Genomic DNA, 13952 nt, shown 5'->3' with positions numbered 1-13952 from the left:
TCTTTTAAAATTTTCTAGTAATAGAAGATTCACAGACTGGAGAAAATTTCCTGCTTCTTTTATTTTTATCTGTGCTTATTTTCATCCAATTTCCTTAATTATTTAATTAAAATTTTAAATATGCTAATTTTAACAAGCAAAACAATGAAATGATATATTAAGAAGCAATCAATCTTTCTAACCCCCTCTTCATGCTTCCACATTTCCTTAGGTAACCGCGGTTAATGGAGGTATATCTCTCTCTACCATTCTCTTTACTCAAATATATGACATGTTCTATAATTTGGACAAGAGAACATTCTTCAGTTTATGTGGATACTCTATTATAGATAACTGTTGTCTTCTAATAAAATAGCTCAAAACAAACAAACACAAGTTTCCTTAATGTTTCCTTGAGAAAATAAAGGGATTAAGCATTGTGAGTTGAGGAATCATGGCATTGTCTCAGAGGTGCCCAAGTCCTTTGTGAAAAGAACCATCAGGTTTGCAGAAGTGGCCTGGTGAACCTGGCTGTACTTGAGATAGATCTTAGCATGATGCAGAAGAGGTAGATGTGGACTTAACTTAAGCCTGTTGTCTGTCAAAAATCTTTCAACCCAGAATCAGTTATGCCACGATAATGCTATCCCAGAAGAAAAAATATACTGTATTTGTCTCTGAAAGGTATACTAAAAATATATTTTATCTGATAACCCTATTTTTTAATTTCCAATAGGAAATAATAAAAAGGACAATGCTCTTGGATGATATTCTAAAATCTCAATTATGTGTCACTGATTTGTCAGTCTTTTAAATGTCATTAATAGTTCATCAGAGTTTACAACATATAGTTTATACGACCACATATGAATTTATATTCTGCATGTGAGTCTCTGTATCAGTAATCAAAGACTTTATCTAGACTATCAGTATGCAATGCACACTTTACTTGAACCACTGATATTATCAAGGTTCTTAAGCTATTTACTAAAAAGTTGATGCTTGCATTTTCCCCTATGTATAATCAGTGACAGATTTTTAACTGGTGATAAAGGTGTTTACTACCTCGATCTACATATTTGTGAACACAATTTGGTTTATACATATTCAGTTGTTCTTATACTTGGATAGCTGTCTCCATAATGTTGATTTACAGGTGCACTGATAAAGAAATATGTGCCTGAATGTAAATCAAAGTAACACACGATTTAAGCATTAAATTTCATTTTTGATTGCAAGTTTGTTTTCTGGTAGCTTTACTTATTTAATAGAAACATGTAATTTACAAGATGACAGTGTGCTTGTGATTTTATAGAGTTCAATAAAGACAAGTTAAAAGAGATGCATATAGAAACAAAAATTTAACTGAGCTAAAAAAATCTTGGGGGAATAAATGTCTGTATAAGACCCTACAGGAAAACATAAAACAGAGTTTATAGTCAATCACAAACTGAACTCTAGTCACACAAAATTCACAGTTGGAAAAACAAGCGAGAGTAAACAGGACATTGAGAGACAGAACAAGAAACTGACAGGTGCCGTCGATCAAAGGTCTATGAAAATCTTTGTTACCATGATTTCTGTAGGAAAAGCAAAATTTTTTAGAAAATGTAGGACAATACTGTTTTATAATTCCAGGCCTTTACTATCATTTGCTCTACTTCTTTATTTTAAAGAAACATTAAGTCGTAAATAATGCCATATTTACCTCCTACGTCTTGGGAATGTACTATATGCCTTAACTATTTATCATGGTTCTTGCATTTATATATTTTTCCTTTCCATATATATCTGTGTCTACCTTGCTAAACACCTTCTATAACCCTGGTCACTCCCAGCTTTTCATAGGCTTCCAGAAATCTGTTCCCTGCCTTTTTTTCAGGCAATGCAAGAAGTCCTGTTAAGTTTGCCAGATAAAAATACAAGATAGTAGATAAATTTGAGTCTCAGATAAACAAATGATTTTTTTTCAGTAACAGTATGGCCTATGCAATAGTTAAAATATACTTATACTAAAATTCAGTATTCCTTACTCTTTTGAAATTCAAATTCATCGAGAGTCCTCTATTTTATTTGCTAAATCTGGCAACCCTACCTGCCGGGCCATTGTAACAATTAAATTTAGAACAGCAGACCTCAACCATGACATATATTTATGAATTACTTTGCCCCAGGGGAGGGTGTTTCACATGAAGATTGTTACTGTTCTATGGAAGGAATGTTGGAGTGATGGCAAGAATCAGAAAACACCTTAATTCAGTTTCCCACTGGTGGTTCAAACCCACATTAAGCAGTTGGTTTTTCAACAACTTAGGTAAAACCTAGGGTAAAAGTCCCATGACATCTCTATAATATTTTTAGGTAATCATAAAACTGTGGATAACCTTTATTTACTAAGAGGCAGTTTCAGTATAGTAATTACTGTTTCCATTTTAGAATAATAATCAAATGCCTATAGCTTTTATTTCTTTTTCTAAGTTTAAGTTATTTATTTAAGCCACATCCTGCCACAAGCAAAGGGATGGAAGATCAGTACGCTAGTCATGATTTGTTACAAGTAAAGAAGGCGAGCTTAAGGTCCTGTATACTTTTCTGGTCTGTGAGCCGAGTAATGGTCCAAACCGGTGCTGAGGTCCCAGTGCCCGGATAGTGGTCCAGATTCTTTTTATCTTTGTAGCCAGTTGGAAGTGGATTAACACAGGGTTATGGAATAGAGAATGGTTACCATCTCCCCAGGGAAAGGGCTTGGACGTGATGTGGAGATGGGGGTAGGTGATGACCTCGGGTCTCGTACTCTCCATGGTGGTGCGACTTCAGGAACACATTCAGCAAGCTTATTGCCACCTTGGGGAGCACAATGAAGTAGGTGAGGGCCTTCCACATGTGAGCTGAGCCCTCCTGGCCATGGACGTTGCTCGACATAGGCTGTCCCAGTTGTGGGTGGGACTGACCCAGTAGCAAGAAACCTGGGACTCAGCAGCTGCTGCCATTTTTGACCTGGACTCAAATGCCTATAGCTTTTTAATTTGCAGCCCCTCTCTCTCTCTAGGGCAGGCCTTTTGAAGACTACCTTTCTGAGAAAAAAACGATCAGAAATCTCCTCCTCCATTTGCCCTCTTCTCCTTCCCATGCAAAAGGCTGCTTCTGGCTTCTTTGTTTGAACATGGTGGCAGGGGAGCAGTGGAGAGGCAATGGAGGTAAAGGATGAAACACATATGAGTTTTTCCAGGACATAATGATCTGCCCTGGGACCTTCTGGCCTTGATGAGTGTTTCAGTAAGGCACTTAAAAGACACTTTGGGAATTCGTCTCTTGATATCAGTTTCTAACTTGAAGCTTCCCTAGTCATGGGAGACTCCACAGGTTGAATTGTTTTCTGTACCTATCTCTTTAGCAGTAGGCAAACCATGGCCCACTCCAAGCTATTTTCTGCTGAGTTCTTTGTACCATTCTAGGTGGTCCCTTTGGAGAGCAATGCATATGAGCATAATTTTATCATGCTATAAGCACATTTTGTACATGGGGAACACATATATTCTTATCCCTGACAAAGGTTTGAAGTGAAAGCTAATCCTAATATGCCTCTCTGAGTAGCTACAGTGATTTTCCTTTAGGTTCTCATGTATGAGCCAGTATCAGCCTACTGTCAGCCACAGCTCCAGGTATCACAATACAAGCTCTTCCTGTGGTTTCACTGAATCCTTTCCCTTAGAGATGAGGAAAACACACCCCAGCCTGCCTTTTGCCCTGGTGAGATTCAAAGTGTACTTATCCTTTTATCCCAAATCTTTAGACCCTTAATGTGGATGAGAAAAAATAATTGCAAAAATATTTTAGAAACATTCTTTTCAAATCTTGATTTAGCACCCTGCATAGGATACGGAGAGTTGCCTTCTATTTTCTTGAAATTTTGGGTGAAATTAAGACTAAAACCAAAAACTAAAATAGTTCAATTTAAACACACTCTTTAAGGGGGAGGGACGAAGATGACTGACTAGACACAGCCAGAGAATGACTCTCCCACCAAGAGAAACCAAATTATATCAAGTAAACCATCACACTTCAGACAGATCTTTTGAGAGAAAACACTGAAATTGACAGAGGCAACACAGACACCGAGGTTGAAGAGGGAGGCAACTGGGAAGCTTACATGGAGTTGCAGAGCACCAGGACTGGCTCCCAGTCCTGAACAAGTGCTAAAGAAGGGGTTAGTGAAGGAATTCCAGGGCACCACACTCTCACCTTGGGCATCTGGGGTCCTAGCTACAAAGGATCTCATGACCCCCATGGACATATAAATTAGCAGGGGGAACTGATCAGAGAGTAGCCAGAAGCAGAGCTTGAACCTGCAGGGAACCCAGAAGGTTTTGTCCATGGGGCAGTTACAGCAACACACAACCATAGGCGCCCATCGCCCAAGACTCATCATCTTGCTCTGAGCAACTCTGACCCCGCTGACTGCCAGGCTGAGAGAAAGCAGGACTGCCCTTCCTATAGGACAAGGGTGCATCTGATCTGTGTGTGCCCTGACAAGGACCCTGCTTGGCTGCTCCCATAGGAGGGGGCACACAGCACAGCCACTCTGCCTGAGTGTTTTGCCAGTGGCCTGGAAACAGTGAAGGCCCTCCAGCACAGCCGCTGTTTGACAGGTCCTACCCCCAACCCCCTATCCCTTGGGTTTGAGCACAGAATCCTGAGTTATCAAGCTGGGATCTGTGGCCTCAGCTTGAGTGGGGAAGGAACACCCACTCTCAAAACACTGAGAAAAGTTATGCATAGGTTTATGTGCTGGCATGGGAGATGGGCATCTCTCCCTCTACAAGACTGGTATAGGGAGCGTACAGCCTGTTGACCAGCCACAGATTCTGCCTGGGGCTCTAGGGCCCAGAATACATGGAACAGCCCAGTAATCTGGACTAAGAAGGTTTGGGACAAAACTAGCTTATTGGGCCTGATCCTGAGGGAGATTAGATGGACAGAAACCCAGTCAGGGGAGCATGAGCTGTGCAGCACTACATCAGCTGCACACCTGTGGTGCTGCCAACACTGTCCATGGATCCTTTGCCCTTGACCCACTGCATCACCAGACCACCTGTAGACATATAGTCCCACAGCCAGCTTTGACTCTGCCAATCTCAGAGGACCAGTGGGTCCCCATGGTGTGGCAGGTCTTCTGGTGACTTAAACTTTGGATTGAGCTTCCCCTAAGGGTGGGGGATAGGGAGTGCAGCCTGTCAGGGCTCCCCTTGGAGCTAAGGAAACATAGGCAGGGTGCCAGCAATTGAAAGAGACTCCCCTAAGGCCTGGAAATGGACTCGGTGAGGGAATGATTCCTTGCCTCACTCCTATCTTCCCCCTCCCCAGAGGCCTGCTGTGGATACACTGAAATGCAAGAGGTGCATGGCTAAGATTCTATCTGCCAGCCCTCACTCTTAAGCATCATCTACAGGATCACAGCCCAAATTACACCACTAAACAAAAATAAATTCCTTCAACATGCATTACCTGTGCAACTCAATACAGGAAACTAACCACAACTAAGGAACTTGTACAGAGCCTTGGACTTTTGAAAGCATTCAGAAAGAAAGCCAATCAACTACACATAACATATAACACAGTCAAACCCTCAAGGGAAAAGGAATGTAACAACAAAATTCCCCATCCAAATTACAGCAACTTCAAAAAAATAAAGAAACACCAGCTCTCTCAGATGAGAAGGAATCAGTACAAGAACTTCAGCAACTCAAAAAGTCAGAATGTTTCTTACCTCCAAAGAATCGCACTAGCTCCCTAGCAATGGATCTTAACCATATTGAAATAGTTGAAATGACAGATATGGAATTCAGAATCTGAATAACAAGGAAGCTCAGTGAGATGCAAATGAAAGTTGAAACACAATTCAGGGAAGCCAGTAAAATGATCTAAGAGTTGAAAGATGACATAACCATTTTAAGAAAGAACCAAATTGAATTTCTGGAATTGAAAAATAGACAACAGGAATTTCTGAAATACAGCTGGAAGCCTTAACAAAAGAGCAGAATAAGTGGAGGAAATAATTTCAGAGCTTGTAGACAAATCCTTCAAATAAATTAGACAAAAATAAAGGGAAACAAATTTTTAAAAAATGAACAAAACTTCCAAAAATATGGAATTATGTAAAAAGAGCAAACCTATGACTCATTGGCATTCTTGAGAGAGAGGGACAGAGTGTGTGTGAGACAGTAAGCAACTTGGAAAACATATTTGAAGATATAATACAAGAAAATTTCCCCAATCATGCTAGAGAGGTTGACATGGAAAGTAAAGAAATTCAGAGAAGCTCTGTGAGATACTATACAAGATGACTACCCTCAAGACACATAGTCAACAGACTTTAAGGTCAATGAAAAAGAAAAAAAACATTAAAGGCAGTTTGAGAAAAGGGTTAGATAACTGACAAAGGGAACCCCATAAGGCTAATAGTGGACTTCTCAGCAGAAACCTTACAAGCCAAAAGAGATTAGGGGCCTATTTTCAGCACGCTTAAAGGAAAGATATTCCAATTCAGAATTTCATATCCTACCAGACTAAGCTTCATAAGCAAAAGAGAAATAAAATATTTTCCAGACAAGCAAACACAAAGGGACTTTGTTACCACCAGCCCGGCCTTAAAAAAAGGGTTGCTATTTTTATATTAGGTTCAGGGGGTACACAGGTATCCCCTGAATCTAAAATAAAAATGTGAAAAATAGATAAAAAACCTGAATAGTTCATGTTACTGCTGCAAACTAAGTATATTTACAGGAATAATGAAGATTCATCGTTGTGTGGCATTGGATATCAATTTCATGCAATTTACCCATACCATATATTCCATTTGTTATGCAGAAGTTTGTATAGTCATATTAAGTTTAAAATGACTTTAACAAGAGTCATAATAACTATTTTTAAAAAGTTAAAAAAAACAGATGTTGGCAATACTATGGAGAAAATGGAATGCATATACATTGTTGGTCAGAATGTAAAGTAGTTCGGCCACTATAGAAAGCAGTTTGGAGTTTTCTCAAGAACTAAAAATAGAACAAACTACCTTTTGACCTAGCAATCCCATTATTGAGTATTTACCCTTTGGGAACATAAATCGTTCTACCAAAAAGGCACATGGATCTACATATTCATCTCAGCATTATTCACGATAACAAAGACATAGAATCAACCCAAGTACTCATAAATAGTTGGATTGGTTAAAGCAAATGTAGTACATATACACCTTGGAATACTGTGCAGCCATAAGAAAGAACAAGATCATGTCCTTTGCAGCAGCATGGATGCAGCTAGAGGCCATTATCCTAAGTGAACTAACACAGAACCAAAAAACCAAATACTTCATGTGCTCACTTATAAGTGGTAGCTAAACATTGGGTGCCCATTGACATAAAGATGGGAACGATAGACACTGTGGACTACAAGAAAGGGAGGGAAAAGAGGAGGTGAAGGGTCAAAGATCTACCTTTGGGTACTAGGCTCACTACCTGGGTGATGGGTTCAATTATATCCCAATCCTCAGCATCACAGAATATGCCCTTTTAAGAAACTTGCCCATGTACCCCCTGAATCTAAAATAAAAATTAGAAAAGTAGATAAATAACCTGAATAGTCCATGCTACTGCTGCAGACTAAGTATATTTACAGGAATAATGAAGATTAATCCTTGTGTGGCCTTGGATATTGATTTCATACACTTGACCCATACCACATCTTCCATTTGTAATGCAAATAGACTCTATCTTTCAATAATAAATAAGTAAATAAATGTATTAACCCAGAATCTTTGATATTCTTAGAATTGGCAGGTAAAAGTTTTGGATTCAGATTAGTATAATCAACTAAGATAATGTCCTTGGACACAAACTGTCAACTGAGACAATGTCCTTGGGCACAAAGCAGATGGCCACTCACCAATTCATGATTTAGTCTAATTAAAATGTACATAAATGTCCTCAGCTTCATTTCTGAATCAGTGGCATTTGTAAAAGTAGTGAGGAAAGAAATATTTTCCAGATTAATGCTTATACATACGCAGACCATTTTCTAAAGAAAGGACATTTAGATCAGGGTCATAATATGTAGGACAAGCCTTGATTCATTTGCCCTTTATTCTAGGAAAGGGAAAAAATTAAGAGTGTAAAAATATCACGTAATGCATTGGCATTCATAGCAGGATGTGCTAACATTAACAAAATTTACAGTGTTTTTGAAGAGAGGTAATGAGAACGTCTCTGCAGCTTCAGTAGCAATGCATAATACAGCACAATGAAAAATGGTATTTTAATTTTCATGCATGACCTCCACCAGAGGTGTTAATCCTATGCTAGACCCTGTAATTCTCCAACTGTTTGGAGTGAAAGGAAAATGATATTCCATGTCTTTCAGAGATAGATCATATATCCTGGGAAATCTAGAGGCTTAGAGGATCTATTCGTGTTTTCCAGAGTAAGGACCATGGGGCATAATCCAGCTGTTTTGCAATTGAATGAGATATTAAACAGTATATTATTCTATCATTTTCTAAATTTAAGAGCAAATCTTGCCTTTAAAATAGATTAAAATTTAAAATTATGAAAATTTGATTGTATTTCCCTGAGATGTTCTGATATAATTAAATTTGTGAAGATATTTAAAATAGTCAAGCATTTGCCAACAGGCAAACATTTTTACAAAACGTTAATGTAAAAGGGTGAATAGGAGTTTCTGGGTAGATAGGAAAGTCAGGTTTTTAATAAGAGATGTTAGTGCTAGGAGAACTACTGTAGGACTTAAAAGTTGTTTGTGCCTCACTTCATTTTTATGCTAAGAACAATCAAAGGTCACTTTAAGGATTGGGGTAGGAAAATTAAATAGACCGCAGGATTATTTAGGATTGTCCATCATATCCAGAAGTGAAATAGGATTCAGTGGGGTCATGGGTAGTTTGCAGTGTGAATGGCAGATGGACTGTATGACCTGAAGAATAAGAAAAAAAAAAGGGCAGATATTGAAACTATTGTGCAGAAAGGAATAAAGACACTGGACAAGATGTGAAATGCTAAAGTGTAGATGTAGCTGTAATGACTTCCTGGTCTCTCCTCGCCAGCAGATGAGAATACTGCCTTGTTTGGAGCAGTGGTGGATCTGGGCAACAGAAAAGTTTCTAAAAGATTGTGTTTTCATTTTTTTTCAGATATAAAGGGTATCTAAATCAATGGGTATCCATACTGGCTGGATGTTAAATCAAACTGGGGAGCTTTAAAGATGCTCTGATGCTTAGGACCTACTAACAAATATTTTGATTTAATTAATTTGTTAATAAACATAGGCATAAATATTTTTAAGAAGGCTCTTCAAGTGATTTTAATGTGGATTTCAGGTTGAGATCCACTGCTCTAGATGAAAATAAAAATGGAGAGAGTGAGTTATCTGGTAAAATATGCATTCAGGATGTGAAAAAATCTTTCCCTGGGTGGCCATATAACATAATTCAAACTGTTGGCTCCCAAGTCTTTGATATACCTACAAAGTTCCTCTTTCCTCAGGATGAGCACTGATATCAAATCTGCAAGGGAAATGAATCAGAGAGACACCCAATCTCATCTCCAGCTTCCTTATCTTAAAGACTTTCATGCATGAATGCAAGATGAAGATCAGAAACTAAAATGCTTATAGAGGTCGTTTGGGAAAATCAATAAGCAAGCAGCCTGAGTCAGTAGACTGGTATTAAGTCTGAGTCACAGTGTGAGAGGAACACTGGGAATGGAGCATCCTGGATACTATAAAGGGAAGCACTAACCACTTAGCTCCCATTGGCAGTAGCCACATCATGGGCTGACAGCCCAGGGTCAACTCAGTTTTCAAAAAATTTTTCAAAAAATGTCAGGAACTTGGATTTTTTACGTGAAAAATTTCAGTTGTTGAAAATGGGAATCAAAACAATGCTGTTTGAATACTAGTGGCCAAACCAAGCCCATTTGTGGGCTTAGTATGGCCTGGGAGATACCAGTTTGAGACCATGGCTCTACATTGATCTGTGTGTCTTAAAGCGTGGTCCTTCACCCACATGCCTCAAAATCACCTGAGTTCTGAATTTCCCTAAATTTTCTGAGATGCTTCTGGCCCACTCCCTTTATTGCTTTTTATGGTCACAACCCTTGATTGTATGACTCAAGGCAATCTTTTGAAAAGTTTACAATTCAGTCAATTATGTAGTTGTTCTTTCTGTAGGGAGAAAGTGTGTTCCTCTTGTTTCGATATGATTGTAAATAGTGCTCTCGTTCACTCTCAAAAGCGAGAGTCAAGAAGATAAATTATATAGTTATCTATATGTAATAACTTAAAGAACAACAACAGCAATGACAATATGTAAGTATGATGTTTAGTTGTTTTTCTACTGACTTGATTAGATTAGAGGAGTATTGTGAATCTTCAAATGCTATGGAGAGTGAAGGCCAGCCTATCCTTGCTAGGAATATAAATATTAAAACTATACTTGTTTAGGAAAAGGATATAAGTTAGTGGTCTTCTATGTTGAAAACACAAGCCAATCCTATGCCTTTTAAGATGATAAATTTATTGTTAAAATGGTTCTGAGTATACTTTCTCATATCAAATGGTAATATAACATCAAAAAATTTGTAAAAATTCCCCCTTTGGTATGTAGAGCTGAATTCATTTCCTTTTGAGCATGGGCTGGATTTAATGACACACTTCCACTAAATTGAGTACAGAAATGAAAAACTTGTCAGACACCACCTTACCCTAGTGGTCTAGGGTACTATTATCAGTATAAATGATGTTGATTTTATCTACCTTCTGATATAATGGGATAAAAGGAACATCTCATTTCTATGGCATGTAATCATGAGAAACATCACAAAAACCCAAGTTGATGAAAATTCTACAAAATATCTGACCAGGAGTCTTCCAAGTGTGAAGGTTTTGAAAAACAATCAAAGGCTAGGAAACTGCCACAGACCACAGGAGATGATGAAATGCCAATGTGGTATTGTGGATTCAATCCTGAGACAGAACAAGTGGGAAAACTGGTAAAATCTGAGTAAACTGTAATTGGGTTAATAGTATTATTCTAATACTAATATATTAATTTTTACAAATGAACTGTGGTTGGTGATGTAATAGGTTAACATTAGAGGAAGTGGAATGAAGGGGATATGGGAACTCTCTGTACTATCTTGGCAACTTTTCTATAATTAAAAAGCCATTTCTTCCATTTGTTTGTATCCTCTTTTATTTCCTTGAGCAGTGGTTTGTAGTTCTCCTTGAAGAGGTCCTTCACATCCCTTGTAAGTTGGATTCCTAGGTATTTTATTCTCTTTGAAGCAATTGTGAATGGGAGTTCACTCAGGATTTGGCTCTCTGTTTTTGGTGTATAAGAATGCATGTGATTTTTGTACATTGATTTTGTATCCTGAGACTTTGCTGAAGTTGCTTATCAGCTTAAGGAGATTTTGGGCTGAGACAATGGGGTTTTCTAGATATACAATCATGTCGTCTGCAAACAGGGACAATTTGACTTCCTCTTTTCCTAGGGAACATCACACTCTGGGGACTGTTGTGGGGTGGGGGGAAGGGGGAGGGATAGCATTGGGAGATATACCTAATGCTAGATGACGAGTTAGTGGGTGCAACGCAGCAGCATGGCACATATATACATATGTAACTAACCTGCACATTGTGCACATGTACCCTAAAACTTAAAGTATAATAATAATAAAAAAAAGCCATTTCAAAATTAAAGGTTTATTATTAAAAGGTAATATTCTCACTTACCATTCCTAAATATAGAAATATGCTTAAGATTATTAAGCTACAGAGAGATACCTGAATTTTACACTACCTGCAACATAGCCTTCAGGGCAGACAATGGTGATGTTTGAGAAAGGGGACAATGTTTTGAATTGCTAATGCTCAGCAGTGTCTAGTTCAGAGTAGTAGCTAAATAAATACTTGTTACATGAATAAATGCATCATGTTTGGTTTCTGTTTAAGGTGCAAATTCAGCACGTGGGGCTTTTTGCCTGTCATTTATCCACATAATCTGGATCACCAGGCTTCATTCAAAAGATATAATTAGCTACTAGGATCAAAGAGCAATCTTTCCTATGAATTATTCTGTCAAATACACACATAAGCCTGTAGGAAAAGACACTTAGCAAAATAGTATTAAGGAACATTATGTTTAGAAGTTACTAAAAAATCTCAGAATAAGATTTAAAGAAACAAATTAAGTATATGGACACTTTTCCCAAAAACCTATAGTAACCACACATTTATTCCCAGGCATGAAAGAAGTGATTATTGTTAAGTGTCTATGATTCTTATCTGGGAGTATATCCCATTGAAGAATGACTCTGCCTCAGGCTCGCTTAGAATTAAAATCCTTCCCTGTGATTTGGCCTTACACAGCAACAGCTTTCTTTGTTTCAGCTGTCAGAGACTCTTAAGAAAAGTAAATCTTTGAAACTTAATTTACCTTTGGACTTGTTTACTTTTTAAATAGGAGAAAGAGGGAGGTTACAAAATGTAATGTATCAGCAACTGGACCCTCCCACCCCGTGACTGTTTTGTTGTTGTTGAAAGAAATATGATCATAACTTTTTGGGGAGGAGATTGCTAAAACCTCTTATAATTTTACCTTAAATTTTTAAATCTCAGGTCTACTTCTTTGCTTGTTCTTTCTGAAATGAAGTTAGCATCGAATTTTTCAATCTTCTTTAGAGACTATTTGCAGCTTGTTTCTAACATAATTTGAAATTCTAAAAGAAAAAAATCCCAGTAGTGGTTTGTGTTTTTCCCAAATAAACCATTTTAAGCAGTTAAAAGAAAATTATTGCTTTGTATGTTTTTTTTTTAATTGCAGCATTTTGCCGTATCCAAGACATGATTTTTGAATCATCAAAAGAAAAGGGCTGGTCCCTGTGAATTTCAATGTGTCAGCGAAAATACTGAAATTGCAAAAAGGCTAAAATTGCTGGGTTAGCAGCAGAAATAAATTATTCAATACTAATAGAGCTCTTTCTTAGAAAGGTAGGGAACTCAGTAGTATGGACAGTTTCAAGGACACTATCCTATCACAGATATGCAGCTTCATTTAGGCTGGCAACTAAAATGTCTGCGTAACTTGACGACAGTTGGGAGTTAAGATTCATGAGATTGGGATTGAGAAGGGAGATTATGAGAAGGTATGTAGTGACGAGAATATTTTTTATTATGGATATAAAATAGGATTATGTCCCAAAGTAATATTTTTGTTTAGTATTTTTTAAGGTTAAACCTAAAAAAAAAAAACAAGAAAGAAAAAGAATGGTTTGAGCACTGTATGAATACTAGAATATCAGCTTTCAAGATGCTCTAGATGACAAGATGGAAAATTAAATATCAGGAAGAGTTTTGCCCATAGACGTTTGTGGACTCCTGATGAGGAAAGTTTGCATTTCCCCCTACTTTCCTCATGAAGAAGTGTCTTGCCTCTTTGGCTGCCAAGAGACCAAGAAGGAGCCAGTGGCTGGGTGTTTTCATCGCCTAGATATGGACAGAAAAGAACATCAGGGAACAGTGGAACTTACTGCAGGTCCCTCAGCAGGGAAATGGTAGTCTGCTGCGTTGACACTGACAAGCCCCAGGCATACAGAACATTTTGCTTTCCAAAACCTGGGAAATGGTTATCATCTAGGATGTGCTTGAAAGCCTGTAGAGAAAAAAAGTGACACATTATAATGCCATTTTTAAGAGTAAAGAAATTTACATAGAACAGACTACATACAACCAGTGAAAATAAAGATTGTATGGGAGGCATATGAAAGCATGAATAAAAATATCTATCTATCTAGCTCTATATACTAAATATAAATGTATACAAATCTATATTTAATATATTAAATATATAAACATATAAATGTATATAAATACATTTAATATATTAAACATAAATATAAATGTAT

General features: G+C 37.5%; 1 pseudogene, besides 3 other annotated features; it reads right to left on the bottom strand.

Annotated features, from left to right (window-relative positions):
* On the bottom strand, positions 2521–2969 carry COX6A1P3 (COX6A1 pseudogene 3; annotated as a pseudogene).
* Positions 9257–10456: an enhancer, noted in NCBI's record as "CDK7 strongly-dependent group 2 enhancer chr6:121094847-121096046 (GRCh37/hg19 assembly coordinates)". NCBI's record gives its function as "activates an origin of replication core promoter dependent on BRD2, BRD4, P300/CBP, MED14 and CDK7 cofactors, with strong dependence on CDK7, by STARR-seq in HCT116 cells {active_cell/tissue: HCT116}" and the evidence as "EXISTENCE:reporter gene assay evidence [ECO:0000049][PMID:35650434]".
* Positions 13505–13674: an enhancer, noted in NCBI's record as "experimental_88597 CRE fragment used in MPRA reporter constructs". NCBI's record gives its function as "activates a minimal promoter by MPRAs in K562 erythroleukemia cells, with activity observed for the non-introgressed 6:121091714 or rs78155048 variant allele {active_cell/tissue: K562}" and the evidence as "EXISTENCE:reporter gene assay evidence [ECO:0000049][PMID:34662402]".
* Position 13589: a transcriptional cis regulatory region, noted in NCBI's record as "Neanderthal adaptively introgressed variant 6:121091714 (GRCh37/hg19 assembly coordinates) or rs78155048 in the experimental_88597 CRE". NCBI's record gives its function as "modulates activity of the experimental_88597 enhancer by MPRAs in K562 erythroleukemia cells {active_cell/tissue: K562}" and the evidence as "EXISTENCE:reporter gene assay evidence [ECO:0000049][PMID:34662402]".

The sequence above is a fragment of the Homo sapiens genome, chromosome 6, assembly GCF_000001405.40.
Source record: "Homo sapiens chromosome 6, GRCh38.p14 Primary Assembly".
Lineage (NCBI taxonomy): Eukaryota > Metazoa > Chordata > Mammalia > Primates > Hominidae > Homo > Homo sapiens.
The sequence above is the reverse complement of the archived record's forward strand: the minus strand, read 5'-3'. Positions and strand labels throughout refer to the sequence as shown.